At 43.4% G+C, this 15300-nt stretch overlaps 1 protein-coding gene and 1 pseudogene across 1 annotated transcript in view, besides 3 other annotated features; one reads left to right on the plus strand and one right to left on the minus strand.

The window, feature by feature from the left end:
* Positions 1–15300, minus strand: part of MDN1 (midasin AAA ATPase 1) — a 177297-nt gene that overhangs the window by 146070 nt on the left and 15927 nt on the right. Inside the window, exons 2-7 of the mRNA NM_014611.3 lie at positions 14761–14987; positions 6010–6234; positions 5533–5640; positions 5195–5387; positions 1592–1834; positions 1213–1344 (exon numbers count right to left, since the gene is read on the minus strand). Of these exons, the coding sequence (NP_055426.1) occupies positions 1213–1344; positions 1592–1834; positions 5195–5387; positions 5533–5640; positions 6010–6234; positions 14761–14987 (1128 nt within the window). The remainder of the gene's footprint in view (positions 1–1212; positions 1345–1591; positions 1835–5194; positions 5388–5532; positions 5641–6009; positions 6235–14760; positions 14988–15300) is intronic.
* On the plus strand, positions 8879–9331 carry DNAJC19P6 (DnaJ heat shock protein family (Hsp40) member C19 pseudogene 6; annotated as a pseudogene).
* Positions 10801–11534: an enhancer, noted in NCBI's record as "NANOG-H3K27ac-H3K4me1 hESC enhancer chr6:90509087-90509820 (GRCh37/hg19 assembly coordinates)". NCBI's record gives its function as "activates a minimal SCP1, AML or CMV promoter by ChIP-STARR-seq in naive H9 embryonic stem cells {active_cell/tissue: H9 hESC(naive)}" and the evidence as "EXISTENCE:reporter gene assay evidence [ECO:0000049][PMID:30033119]".
* Positions 12388–12888: an enhancer, noted in NCBI's record as "H3K27ac hESC enhancer chr6:90510674-90511174 (GRCh37/hg19 assembly coordinates)". NCBI's record gives its function as "activates a minimal SCP1, AML or CMV promoter by ChIP-STARR-seq in primed H9 embryonic stem cells {active_cell/tissue: H9 hESC(primed)}" and the evidence as "EXISTENCE:reporter gene assay evidence [ECO:0000049][PMID:30033119]".
* Positions 12889–13389: an enhancer, noted in NCBI's record as "H3K27ac hESC enhancer chr6:90511175-90511675 (GRCh37/hg19 assembly coordinates)". NCBI's record gives its function as "activates a minimal SCP1, AML or CMV promoter by ChIP-STARR-seq in primed H9 embryonic stem cells {active_cell/tissue: H9 hESC(primed)}" and the evidence as "EXISTENCE:reporter gene assay evidence [ECO:0000049][PMID:30033119]".

Genomic DNA, 15300 nt, shown 5'->3' on the forward strand with positions numbered 1-15300 from the left:
AGGCTTAGAGGTAAGTAATAAAAGGCCTCCTGTGCTGAGCTAAGGGCTTTGAACTTTTTCATAAGAGTTATCGAGAGGCTTTTAGGCTGAGAAGAAAAGAAATAATTCCATTTTTTATTTTAGAAAATCAACTGTGTAGCAATTTGGAAAGGAGCTAGACTAGAGGAAAAACGGCCAAAAAGGACACTATTCAGGTAACAAAGGCAAGAGAGATAGGTAGACAAAATAAGCCAGTGCTAAGACAATGGGATAAGAACAGAATAAAGAGGTAAGGAAGGCCGGGCGCGGTGGCTCACGCCTGTAATCCCAGCACTTTGGGAGGCTGAGGCAGGCAGATCACGAGGTCAGGAGTTCGTGACCAGCCTGGCCAACATGGTGAAACCCCGTCTCTACTAAAAATACAAAAATTAGCCGGCCATGGTGGCACATGCCTGTAATCCCAGCTACTCAGGAGGCTGAGGCAGGAGAATTGCTGGAGCCCGGGAGACGGAGGCTGCAGTGAGCCGAGATCGTGCTACTGCACTCCAGCCGGGTCAACAGAGCAAGACTCTGTCTCACAAAAAAAAAAAAGAAAAAGAAAATTAAAACCAATCTCGGGAAAACTCTGTCCAAAGGAAGAATATTTCATCCTGCAATACATTTTTTGTCACTTTTCAGAATACAAAGGCAACATGGATTGTCTCAATGGCTAATTTCTTACACACAGAAGTGGTCTTTTTACAAACCAAAATACAAATCCAGCATATTTTTCTTAACTAAACAAAGGCAAGCACACTCTTATTACATCATCTCCTCCTTCACCTGTCCTCAGCCCACTCCTCTGTAGCTGCCACCACTAAGAAGCAGGATCTCAAAGTTCTCAATGTACATGTAACATGGCTGAGATGTTCCAAACCAGACCTGTTCTTGGAAAATGTTGATCTCATATTCAATTAAGGGAGGAAAATACTACTATGAAACTGGTCACATATTCAACTACTATAGGAAACAGCACAACCAAAATTTTATAGAAAATCTCTATCAAACAAGAAACCAGTCAAGTAATTCAGGACCGCAAATCAGATCAGGTAAGTAACCATGAAGTACCTGCAACATAGTACGTCTAATCAAATACATTTTTGTTTAAATCATCACCAGAATCACTATTAACAAAATGCTTTTCCAAGACAGGAAAATATATTAAGGGACAATGAATTTCCTGAGATGACATACCACGTCTAAGGGGGCATAGTCAATATCCTCCAGAAGGATCCAGTGGCCCATTGTGGCTGCCTGTGTCAGGGTGCCAGGCTGCCACACAAACTCTCCAGGAACATCTGTGCAGCGATACATCCCCAAAAGCATCTGCAGAAAGAAGATAAAGTAATTACTGAAAAACCATACCTGTAGTGGCAATGCTACATCCTTTGATTAACTGTTAATCTTCTATAGGTAGGTGTAAGTAAGTAGGCACTTGAGGTTTACATAGGTTGGCCCCAACAGTTATAAGCAAGACCAATAACTATTGTTATATTCCCTTAGCAAAAGCAATATTTTAATGCAAATATTTACAAGCATGACAAGCCACCAAAACTTAACATTTCCTTATTACCTTACTGTCAGTCTGATCTCCAAGCTGGACTTTGAGAAGCTGAGGAGGCTTTGTTCTACCTGTCACTGCAGCTAAATATTCAACTAAGGAAGTTTTGCCACATCCTATTGGTCCTTCCAACAACACAGCATTCTGAGAAGCAACCGCCATAGCCAGGGTCTGAAGACTTTTGCAGACAGACTCAACCAGCACATAAGACCTAAGGGCCAGCTCCTGTTCACGTGAAGAACTCCTATTACCACCCTAAAGAGGCAAGACAAAAGCCATGTCAAGAAGAGTTCTTCCCCCAAGGAACCGAAGTTAATTTCCACAGTAAGCCTTCTACTAACCTTACACAAACCTCTGTAAGTAAATTAGTAGTACCAAAACTATAATAACAACAGGTATGTCATCTAAAGATCTCATGGGCATTGTGGCCCATGCCCATAGTCTCAGCTACTGGAAGTGCTGAGGTGGCAGTATCATTTCATCCCAGGAGTTCAAGGATAGTAAGCCATGATCACACCACTGCACTCCAGCCTGGGTGACACAGAGACCCCGACTCTAGAAAAATAAATAAATTTTTAAAAATAAAGCAAAGGGCCAGGTGTGGTGGCTCAAGCCTGTAATACCAGCACTTTGTGAAGCCAAGGCAGGTGGATCACCTGAAGTCAGGAGTTCGAGACCAGCCTGGCCAACGTGGTGAAACACCATCTCTACTGAAATTACAAAAACATTAGCTGGACATGGTGGCATATGCCTGTAATCCCAGCTACTCGGGAAGCTAAGGCTGAAGAATCACTTGAACCCAGAAGGCGGAGGTTGCAGTGGGCCAAGATCGTGCCACTGCACTCCAGCTGGGCAACAAGAGTGAAACTCCGCCTCAAAATAAATAAATAAATAAAAATAAAAATAAAGCAAGGATCTGATTTTTTTTTCTTTCCATTTTTATTGGGGGTGAGGGATGGTGGGGGTATTCCATGGGAAGTAGGGAATCAGAATTTGTTGGCAAATGTAAGAAAATCTTCCAAAGTTTAAGTAGCCAAAAAAGCTGATGCACAAAGGTAGGGAAGAGCAAACCTCATCTATTACTGTTGGATTTTTCTTTTATTCCTTTCCCCATATTCTAGGATTTCCCATCTAAGATCACAAATATACACAATACATTTAGAAGACAATCAGGGAAATATGGACACTGAGAGGATATCTTATGTTGTAATTTTTTTTTAGGTATAATAACAATAGCAGGGATTTTTAAAGTTTGCCTCCTTTAGAGATATATACTGAAATATTTTCATATAAAATACTATGATGCCTGGTATTTGCTTCTAAGTAATATAATGTGAGGTAGTCATGCAGAAATATAAATGAAATGTAATTGATAATTATTGAATACCCAGGTCTATCAGGTCCATGGGTATTCACTATACCATTCTTTCTACTTTGGAATATGTGCGACATTTTCTGTAACAAAAAGTAAAAAAGAATATTAAAACACACCCAGTAAGTTTAATGAGAAAGAATTTCAGCTTTGTAAGACAAAAACATTCTCAGTCAGATGTGGTGGCTTACACCTGTAATCCCAGCACTTTGGGAGGCTGAGGAGGGAGGATGGCTTGAGGTTAAGAGTTCAAGACTAGGCTGGGCAACATAGTGAGACTCTGTCTCTACAAAAAATGTGAACTAACGTGTAAAGTAAAAAATGTTAACATGGTAAATGTTGTATCAAAACTTTTAATTTTTTTTTTTTTTTTTTTTTTGAGACAGAGTCTCACTCTGGAGTGCAGTGGCACGATCTCGGCTCACTGAAAGCTCCGCCTCCCGGGTTCAAGCCATTCTCCTGCCTCAGCCTCCCGAGTAGCTGGGACTACAGGTGCCTGCCACCAAGCCCGGCTAATTTTTTTGTATTTTTAGTAGAGACGGGGTTTCACCATGTTAGCCAGGATGGTCTCGATCTCCTGACCTCGTGATCTGCCCGCCTCGGCCTCCCAAAGTGCTGGGATTACAAGCGTGAGCCACTGCGCCTGGCCTTAAATGTGTTTAATAATAACAATGCATCCAATATACATGGGGGAAAAGGGGAATGATTTATAACCTTAAAGGGGTAGTAAGTTCTCAAATATGGCTGGTTCCCTAAAAATACGTGAGGATTAAATGAGAAATTCAGAGCTGGAAGCTCTTGAACTTTCCTCAGGGTTGTCCTCTCATAAATTTAGCAGGCAGGCTGCACCGCAACTCTACCCTGCGCTTTGGCCCCAGGGTCCCCACTGCTAAACAACAGCAGGTCCATTCTAACCAGAATCCTTCCCTATGTTAAAATCCTAATGCCCTAAACATAATCTAGGTTGGGATACTGGTTACAGGATACGTGGGGGGTAAAGAGGGAGGAGGGAAGGGGACGGGTCTTCACAACTAGAAAAAAACACAAAGAGCTTTGGAAGTACTGGGTGTTTGGTGTTATTTATATGAAGTTTATGAATAATCACTGACTACACTTATGACAATGTGCATTTTCCTATATGTATATTACATTTTAATTTTTTTTTTTTTTTACTACTACTGACCAGAACCCAACTGATGGGTTCAAGAAATGACCCAGAACTTATTCCAAGAAGAAAAGTGGGTGGCCTGGGTGTAGTGGCTCACGCTGAGGCAGGGGGTCACGAGGTCAGGCATTCGAGACCAGGCTGGCCAACATAGTGAAATTCCGTCTCTACTAAAAATACAAAAAATTAGCCAGGCATGGTGGCAGGCACCTGTAATCCCAGCTACTCAGGAGGCTGAGGCAGAAGAATCACTTGAACCTGGGAGGGGGGAGGTTGCAGTGAGCCGAGGTTCTGCCACTGCACTTGCACTACAGCCTGACCATCAGACAAAGTGACAACTGACTGAAGACTGCTATGGAAAAAGAGACTGGCTCCCACTAGTGCCAGACTTATGATCTGCAAGCCTGTTCAAGTATGGTCTCAAGCCATTCGTGGAAAGAAGCTTGTTGCATATGGGAGAGAGGAAGTTCACTAGATACTGGACTCTCTACAATGAGATAGTTCTGAAAGAAGAGGCTGCTGGGAGTCATCTCTAGACCTAGGCCTGTCTTTGCCACAGAGCAGTCCAAGGGTCTCCAGCAAGTAATTCTGCCTTTGAATTACATCAACATAGGATCGTAACATGTGCTACAGAACTTCACACAGTTTTTGCAGCAAGCAAACAAGAAGATATACGGAACAGCTCCGCGCAAGTTAAAGGCATCACACAGGAACCATTAGTTTCTAATTTCATATTAAACAGGGACAGGCTGGGTGCAGTGGCTCACGCCTGTAATCCCAACACTTTGGGAGACTGAGGTGGCATGATCCCTTGAGTCCAGGAGTTCCAGATCAGCACAGACAACATAGTGAGACCCCGTCTCTACAATTTAAAAAATTAACAAAAAATAAAAACAAGAACAGTGGGAATATCAGGGGAAAAGCCCAAGATGAATTTCTTTTTAACTTCCAAAAATGAAGCAGCAATTTAACAAACTAAATTTAGCTCACACCTGGTACATAGAACCCAGCCAAAGACAGAGCACACTCAGTGTTTAGTAGGGGGAAGGGGACACACCCCCTACTGATACCAACATACCAGCTCTCCAGGGGCTGGCAGCTGCCCAGGCAGCACCACACCACAAACAGCTGTCACCCTAGGGGAGAGGTCAGACGAAACAAGATGTCCCTGTAAGTACTGCAGCTCCTTCTGCTTACGCCAAAGGGAGACTTCTGGATTGGCCAAAACCAAGGCCTTCTCCAAGTCCTGCAACTGGGCCTCTTCTAATAACCTGAGAGAAAGGAGAGTCTCGTCAATTACCTTACCACTCAGAAATGCTATCGCAAGACCTGCAGTCACCTCTGGCCTGTCACCCCCAGAAAAGAAAAAAAAAAAAGAAATGCTATAGCAAGACCTCCACGAAGGTTCCTGCTTACCTCAACCTGAAATGGATCAATTCATCACTATTAAATATCTTCTTAAGAAATGATAACTTGTGCTCTTCATTCATACAGGTAACCAAAGCAAGACAATTGGCTGTATACCTAGGGAAAAAGAAAGTATGTAAATTCAGTTTATCTGCAGTTGATAATAAAGAATAAATAAAATCCACTAGCCAACTGAACACTAGAAAAGGAAATCTCAATTATTACAACACATTTAAGAACAGAAAATACAAATCAGGCACAATGGATTTACTTGATGGAACATGAAAAAGGTGAAACTCCATTCATATCATCTCATTTTCCTCTGCAATGACACATGATTAAAGAAAGGAAGTAAAACCCCAAAAGCCACAAGAACAAAAATAACAAATTTTAAATGGTTTCCTTTCCCTCCTGACACACACAACTCCACACATGCCCTGTACCATCCCCACACTAGAAGTGCAAAAAAGTCTAACAGCTACGCACCAGCGAACCAAGGTGTCATGGCTTCTGAGGAGAGGGACACACACACTCCAGTCCCAGAGCTCCCGGAACACAGACTGCTCCTGCTGCAGAAACTTGAAGGCTGCTTCCATTAGGTCCCGGAGCTTCATCCTCCTACGTCCATAGCGTACTGGATTAGCATCTGAACTCTCTAGGAAAAGTCTTTGAAAGACTGGGGATGTGTCCTTGAAATATCTCAGGGCAAACCTTCAAACACAAAGAATACAGACATCCCCAACTTAACAATGGTTGGACTTAATTTTTCTGCTTTGTAATAGGTTTATCAGAGTATTAAATGCATTTTCAACTTAAGCTATTTTCAAAAAGGAGTATCTATATTTTCATTGATTGGTGGGAATATCATAGAACGCAATTCTCTACTCTGACCAAACCACAAAACAGAACTCCCAAGGGTCTGAGAACATAGGGGAATGAATGCTGAATCTACTTAGTCGTAAAATTGTATCCTGTTCAATTTCAGGAACCAGGACAATGGCATGAGATAATTCTGACTAAGAGGATACAAAAATCTAAAGTAATTACCTACAAAATCGGGGGGTACTTAATGTAAGTGTTTACAACGGAAAAGGCACTCATTTCCAACAAACATTTATTCAGTTCTATGAGCCAGATACTGTAGTTTAATAACTGGGATTCAAAACCAAATAGATACTCTTCTTGAGGAGTTTGCTGTCTAGTAAGGAAGACAGCCACTTTTAGAAACGCTAAGAGACATACACACACGAGTCAACTGAATCTGGGGAGAATCAAGAAGAGATGCTTAAGTTACACCTTAATGAATGAAGACGACAAGCCTGGGCAACATAGTGAGACCTTGTTCCTACAGAAAAAAAAAAAATTAGTGGGGTATGGTGGAGCCTGAAGCCTATTCAGGAGCCTGAAGCTGGAAGATCATTTGCCAGGTTCCAGGTTACAATGAACTATGAAGGTGCCACTGCATTCCAGCCTGGATGACAGAGCAAGACCTTGTCTCAAAATAAGTAAATGAACTGCAAACCCTTCGCTAGATTAAGAAAAAAAAGATTCAAATAAACTAAAATCAGAAATAAAAGACAGGGCTGGGTGTGGTGGCTCACACCCGTAATCCCAGCACTTTCGGAGGCTGAGGCGGGCAGATCACCTGAGGTCAGGAGTTCTAGACAGCTGGACCAATATGGTGAAACCCCATCTCTACTAAAAATACAAAATTAGCCGGGCATGGTGGTGGCTCATGCCTGTAATCCCAGCTATTCGGGACGTCGAGGCGGGAGAATCGCTTGAACCCGGGAAGCGGAGGTTGCAGTGAGCCGAGATCGCACCACTGCTCTCAGGCCTGGGCGACACAGTGAGATTCCGTCTCAAAACAAACAAACAATAAAGGTGGGGGGGACATCATATTATATAACCAATGCCATGGAAATAAAAAATATTATTAAAACTTTGAACATGGCCAGGCACAGTGGCTCACACCTGAAATCCCAGCACTTTGGGAGGCTGAGGTAGGCAGATCACTTTAGGTAAGGAGTTCAAGACCAGCCTGGCCAACATGGTGAAACTCCGTCTCTACTAAAAACACAAAATTAGCCAGGTGTGGTGGTGCATGCCTGTAATCCCAGCTACTCAGGAGGCTGAGGCAGGAGAATCACTTGAGCCCGAGACACGGAGGTTATAGTGAGCCAAGATCGCGCCATTGCACTCCAGCCTGGGCGACAAGAGCAAAACTCTGTCTCAAAAAAAAAAAAAAAAAAAAAAAAAACAAAAAAAAAAACCAAACACTTTGAACATTATAAAGAAATGGAAAATATGTACAGACCAATAAGTAACTAGTAAGGAGATTTAGTCAGTAATCAAAAACCTCCTACCAAAGAAAAGCCCAGACTGCACTAGAGAAAAGCTAGATGATTACACTAGGGAATTCTACCAAACATTAAAAGAAGAATTAACACTAATCCTAATGAACCTTAATGTAATCAGGTGGAATTTGAGTAGGCTCATCAATGTTAACAAATGCACTACTCTGACGGGAGATGCTGATAATGGCGAGGCTATGGATGTGTGGGTACAGTGTGTATATGAGAAATCTCTGTACCTTCCTCTCAATTTTGCTGTGAGCCTAAAATGGCTCTAAATTAAGTATTAAAAAATAATTAGCATGCATTAGATGTTTGTTTTTAATTTTATAAAAATTTCTGGGCTGGGCGCAGTGGCTCACACCTGTAATCCCAGCACTTTGGGAGGCTGAGGCGGGTGGATCACCTGAGGTCGGGAGTTCGAGACCAGCCTGACCAACATGGAGAAACCCCATCTCTACTAAAAATACAAAATTAGCCAGGCGTGGTTATGCAAGCCTGTAATCCCAGCTACTCAGGAGGCTGAGGCAGAAGAATCGCTTGAACCTGGGAGGCGAAGGTTGCAGTGAGCCAAGACAGCACCATTGCACTCCAGCATGGGCAACAAGAGTGAAACTCCATCTCAACAACAACACAAAAATTTCTGGTTGGGTGAGGTGGCTCACGCCTGTAATCCCAGCACTTTGGGAGGCCAAGGGAGGTGGATCACAAGGTCAAGAGATCGAGACCATCCTGGCCAACATGGTGAAACCCCGTCTCTACTAAAAATACAAAAATTAGCTGGGCGTGGTGGCACACGCCTGTAGTCCCAGCTACCCAGAAGGCTGAGGCAGGAGAATCGCTTGAACCTGGGAAGGAGGCAGAGGTTGCAGTGAGCCAAGATCACGCCACTGCACTCCAGCCTGGCGACAGAGCAAGACTCCATCTCAAAAAAAAAAAAAAAAAAAAATTCTATCTTAAAAAATTGTGTACAAATGCTCAAAAATGGACTGTAGCGGGTTCTGTTCTTGTGGTCGGCGGCTGTGTTGCTCTCTGATAAAGGTATGTGGTTGTTGGCTGCAACCCCTGGGCTGGGATGATTCACGTTCCTGGTGGAGGCAGGGGAGCCCAGCTGGAGCTGTGGCCAGTACAGTAGTAGCAGTTGGACTGATTTGCTGCCATGGGATTCGTAGGCCATTATGTTTTGCAAGCCATGAAGCATATGAAGCCTCAAGTAAAACAAGTTTTTCAAAGTCTACCAAAATCTGCCTTCAGTGGTGGCTATTACAGAGGTGGGTTTGAATTAAAAATGACAAAACAGAAGGCAGCATCAATACCAGGTCTAAGGCCTACTGCCAATAAAGGGAAAGTATGAGATGCTCATTAATGAATGATGCTCTTAAACAATCCAAGTGAAAGAGGATCTCCTTACACAGCAGCCAAAAGAAGAGAAGCTAAAGATTTATTAGAAAGTCGGCCAGGCGTGGTGGCTCACGCCTGTAATCCCAGAATTTTGGGAGGCCGAGGCAAGTGGATCACGAGGTCAGGAGATCGAGACCATCCTGGCTAACACGGTGAAACCCCATCTCTACTAAAAATACAAAAAAAATTAGCCAGGCGTGGTGGCAGGCACCTGTAGTCCCAGCTACTCAGGAGGCTGAGGCAGGAGAATGGCGTGAACCCGGGAGGCGGAGCTTGCAGTGAGCCGAGATCGTGCCACTGCACTCCAGCCTGGGCGACAGAGCGAGACTCTGTCTCAAAAAAAAAAAAAAAAAAAAAGAAAGAAAGTCAAGTTAAAAAGTGAAGTAGGCCAGGCGCAGTGGCTCACGCCTGTAATCCCAGCACTTTAAGAGGCCGAGACAGGTGGATCACCTGAGGTTGGGAGTTCGAGACCAGCCTACCAACATGGAGAAACCCCGTCTCTACTAAAAAGACAAAATTAGCCATGAGTGGTGGTGATCCTAGCTACTCGGGAGGCTGAGGCAGGAGAATCACTTGAACCTGGGAGGCGGAGGTTGCGGTGAGCCAAGATTGCACCACTGCATTCCGGCCCGGGCAACAAGAGTGAAACTCCATCTCAAAAAAAAAAAAGTGAAACAAATCTATGATGAATTTTAAGTTCATATTAGTTTATGTATGAGTAGCAAGTTTTTATAAGAAAATGCCTAAAAGTTAAAATTTTTGAAAATAATTTAGCGCAAGCTAAAAATAAACAAAAAATAAATACAATTGACTGTAGTGATGACTGCATATATTGATGAAAATACTAAAAACCACTGAACTGTACACTTTTATATAAACTATCCCAATAAAGCCATATTTAAAATGCGTGCATATCAATGTACTTGTGTGTATACTCTGATGTGTGCAAGAGAAAAGACATTTGGGAGAAAACATACCAAAATATTAATACCAGCTATCTTTGGAGGGTATGATTTCAGGGTGGAGAGGACCTTTAGCTTCCTACCATTCTGTATTGTTGAATGTTATTTGAATATATCACTTCTGGGACTAAAAGAAGAAAAAGGAAAATAGGTATTATACTATTAGGACATTATTCTCCTCACAGGGATACAGTGAGAATAAAGTAGTTCTTGGAGAGGAAGAAAAGTCTAAAAACAAATACAAGATGTTACCTTTAAGGCATTTCTAGATACAGTTTTTAACTAAAATGTGTAACAGCAACTATTTTGGTCCCTCATTCTGCTGTATGGCCGCATGACTGGCCAAATACGGTACCTTACACATGGACCATGTCTTTGAAAAGAAAGTGCATGCTCCACCACAACAATCCATCTGCTATTCTTCATAAAGGCTGTGACTGGGCCCACCCACTATTGCTCTTACCAATCAAAAGACAGACAGCACTGATGTGGGGCACGTGCCCAGCACAAACTAGCAGCAGATGCAAAACTGTAACCAAGAAATTAAGCTAAAATGCAATCCAAATAAACTGCACACTTAGAAATAGTAAAGTTGGGCCGGGCGCAGTGGCTCACGCCTGCAATCCCAACACTGGGAGGCCGAGGCGGGTGGATCACCTAAGGTCAGGAGTTCAAGACCAGCCTGGCCAACATGGTGAAATCCCCACCTCTACTAAAAATACAAAATTAGCCAGGTGTGGTGGCACATGCCTGTGATCCCAGCTACTTCGGAGGCTGAGGCAGGAGAATCACTTGAACCTGGGAGGCAGAAGTTGCAGTGAGCCAAGACCACACCATTGCATTCCAGCCTGGATAACAAGAACGAAATTCCATCTCCAAAGAAAAAAAGAAAAGAAATAGTAAAGGTGATCAGTTTTATGCATTTTCCTACCACAACGGGAAAAAGTGTATACACATTTTTAAGAATGAAACTTAAATTTTGTTAAAAACTTGAGCTTATTTGTGATATATGTTTAGTTTTCAATCTGGTTCCAGGACAGAGCTCCAGGAATTGTAATTTCCGATGCAGTAAGAGCTATTCTTTTGTTATTCAACCCCCTTTCAATCACACCTGAGTTTATGTTAATGAGGTGACAATGGGAAAGTCCCTAAGGAGTGGGGGGCACTGGTTGGTTGCCAGGAGAACCAACCAAGTGATAATAAAGTTAAAACTTTCAGCCCAACTGCCAGAGAGGAGAAAGGGGATAAAGGTTAAGATGATCTCCAATGGTCAAAGATATAATAAATCATGTCTTCCTAATGAAATATCCAATTAAAAAGAAAAAAAAAGGAAAAACAGGCCGGGCACGGTGGCTCACACCTGTAATCCCAGGACTTTGGGAGGCCTAGGAGGGCAGATCACCTGAGATCGGGAGTTCGAGACCAGCCTGACCAACATGGAGAAACCCCGTCTCTACTAAAAATACAAAATTAGCCAGGCATGGTGGCACATGCCTGTAATCCCAGCTATTCAGGAGGCTGAGGCAGGAGAATCACGTGAACCTGGGAGGCGGAGGTTGCCATGAGCCAAGATTGCACCACTGCACTCCAGCCTGAGCAACAACAGCGAAACTCCATCTCAAAAAAAACAAACAACGACAACAAAAATAAATGGGGTTCTGAGAGCTTTCAGGGTGGTAAACAAATGGAGGTGCTGAGAGGGTACTGCAGCTGGTGGGGAGCATAGATGCTTACTGTCCCCCTCCCCCATACCTTGTCCTGTGCATCTCTTCTAACTGGCTCTTCCTGAGTTGTATCCTTTTCTAATACACTTGTAATCTAGTAAAGAAACTGTTTTCCTGAGTTCTGTGAGCTATTTTAGCAAATAATCAAACCTGAAGAGGTGAGTCAAGGAAGTCTCTGATTGATAGCCTTTTGGTCAGAGGCATATATGATAACCTAGACTTGAGATTGGTGTCTAGAGAGGGGGTGTGCAGGGGAGGAATGATGAGATACTCTTGTGGGACTGAATCTTTAACCTGTGGGGTCTGTACTAAACCCAGATAGACAGTCTCAGAGTTGAACTGAATTGCAGGGTACCAAACTGACGTCAGAGAATTGATAGATATAGGTAAAAAGTCACACATCTGGTGTTAGAAGTGAAGTGTTCTGCAAATGTAGAGAAAAAGGAACTGTTTTTTTCTTCTTTACTAGTCCAGGATACTTCTGTGTATTGCAGACATGATTCACAGCAGGCGCTGGTCAAGTCAGCATAGGTAAAACTTAGAAATAAGGTTACACTCTGATATAACATTAAAGGAAATAATCTCTGGGTGTGGTGGCTCATGTCTGTAATCCCAGCACTTTGGGAGGCCAAGGCGGGCAGATCACCCGAGGTCAGGAATTCAAGACCAGCCTGGCCAACATGGTGAAACCCCATCCACACTAAAAGTACAAAAACTAGGCCAGGCTCACGCCTGTAATCCCAGCACTTTGGGAGGCCGAGGCAGGCAGATCACTTGAGGCCAGGAGTTCAAGACTGGCCTGGACAGCATGGTGAAAACCCCAAAAAATACAAAAGTTAGGCCAGGCGCAGTGGCTTACACCTATAATCCCAGCAATCTGGGAGGTCGAGGTAGGCAGATCACGAGGTCAGGAGTTCAAGATCAGCCTGGCCAACATAGTGAAATCCCATCTCTACTAAAAATACAAAAATTAGCCAGGTGTGGTGGCACGCACCTGTAGTCCCAGCTACTTGGGGGGCTGAGGTGGGAGAATCGCTTAACCTGGGAGGCAGAGGTTACAGTGAGCCAAGACCATGCCACTGCACTCCAGCCTAGGTGACAGAGTGAGACTCCGTCTCAAAAAAAAAACAAAACAAAACACAACACAAAAATTAGTGGAGTGTGATGGCGGGAGAATCACTTGAACCGGGAGGCAGAGGCTGCAATGAGCCAAGATTGTGCCACTGCACTCCAGACTGGGCGACAAAGTCAGACCCTGTCTCAGAAAAAAAAAAAAAAGAATTAGCCAGGTGTAGTGATGTGCATCTGTAGTCCCAGCTACTCAGGAGGCTAAGGCATGAGAATCACTTGAACCCAGGAGAAAGAGGTTGCAGTAAGGTGAGATCGTGCCACTGCACTCCAGCCTGGGCAACAGAGTGAGACTGCTTCAAAAAGAAAAAAAAAAAAGAAAATAATCAACACATAACGTGTAATTCTAACTTTCTGAAACTGTCTCCAAAGCTATAGCTGAGGGGATTTGGGAGCACAAGTTTAATCAAGGTGAAGAGAAAGCAAGGAAAAAACTGGATAATTTTTTATGAGACAGAACTTTGATACCTAACTGACATATCAGAATAGAGAAAGCCAGGAACGTTCTCAGAGTCCCGATCTTTACTTGGCTGTATATTTTCTAGTTCCATTAAACCAGGTCCATTTTTTTCTCAACCCCTTTTAGAAAAGCTCAGACCAACAGTGTTTTCCCCCAAGTCTTCATTTCCTATTTCCTCATTAAAGGACCAGACTAGATATCATACTTCCAAGAAAGCCAAAGTGTATTTATTGCATTGATGAAGACTAATAAATAAAACACTGGATATAAGAAATGTTCTGTTGGCCGGGCACAGTGGCTCACGCCTGTAATCCCAACACTTTGGGAGGTCGAGGCGGGCAGATCACGAGGTCAAGAGATTGAGACCATCCTGGCCAACATGGTGAAACCCCGTCTCTACTAAAAATACAAAAATTAGCTGGGCGTGGTGGTGTGCGCGCCTGTAGTCCCAGCTACTCAGGAGGCTGAGGCAGGAGAATCAGTTGAACCCAGGAGGGAGGCAGAGGTTGCAGTGAGCAGAGGTCATGCCACTGCACTCTAGCCTGGTGATAGAGTGGGACTCCATCTCACAAAAAAAAAAGAAGAGAAGAAAGAAATGTCCTATTGGTACACAGAATATTAATCATTTTTACAGTGAAAGTTTTAAAAATCTTTTCAATTTAAAAACCCCTGACACTCAGTTTTGCTGTCTCTTTTGATTATTCCTCAAAACTATATTTTACTATCTCTTTAAAAGTCACATTAAAATCCAGCTCTAACACAGCTCTTAGTATACTAATTCAGATAGATTTATAGAATTTGGAAGGGATACTATAGCTCTTCTAATCCACTCCTTCAGCTGCTCTAACAAGCAAGGAATCTTTCCCATTAGAGGTGGATGCTGTAAGAGCCTCAGTTAAACCTCATTTACTCCGCTGTATATGCATGTCTTGCCACATGATACAATCCTTGAGAGCACTGGGGACATATCCTGGCCATCTTTCCAGGTCTGTTCTGATGGCCAAGATTTAAGAGAAACCTAGTAAATGCTCACTGAACTGAGCTGGATAAATGGATTCTGCTGTGACTCTTTTTATAAAACAATACTATTTATCTCTCTCCTTTCTGTATTTCCGTTTTACCTTCTCAGCTCAGACTCCCTTACATCCCAGGAGACAGCAGGTTCTATCACCTCAAGGAGAAATGCGAATAATAAAATTGCTACTCACGGGAGGACATCAGGATGGTTACCAATGAGTTTGCTCATCGACACACATAGCCGTTCATGCAGATCATGGTTGATTTGGCCTCCAGCTTTAATGGCTTCGGCATTCCTTTCCAGCAAATCCAAAAGGAGAGGGCGAAGCTGGCGACCAACCAGCACAGTACAGTCCTTATCCAAAAGCAACTGTGCTAAGGTACTCAGGACACACTGGCGATCTTGAGGTGTCCACACCTGAGAAAGGCAAAACAAAACATCTTTCACTTTTTTTTTTTTTTTGAGACACAGTCTCGCTCTGTCGCCCAGGAGCAAGTGCAGTGGTGCAATCTCAGCTCACTGCAAGCTCCACCTCCCGGGTTCATGCCATTCTCCTGCCCGAGCCGCCCAAGTAGCTGGGACTACAGGCGCCCGCCACCATACCCGGCTAATTTTTTATATTTTTAGTAGAGACGGGGTTTCACCATGTTAGCCAGGATGGTCTCGATCTCCTGACCTCGTGATCCGCCCGCCTCAGCCTCCCAAAGTGCTGAGATTACAGGCGTGAGCC

This window comes from Homo sapiens, chromosome 6 (genome assembly GCF_000001405.40).
Source record: "Homo sapiens chromosome 6, GRCh38.p14 Primary Assembly".
NCBI lineage: Eukaryota > Metazoa > Chordata > Mammalia > Primates > Hominidae > Homo > Homo sapiens.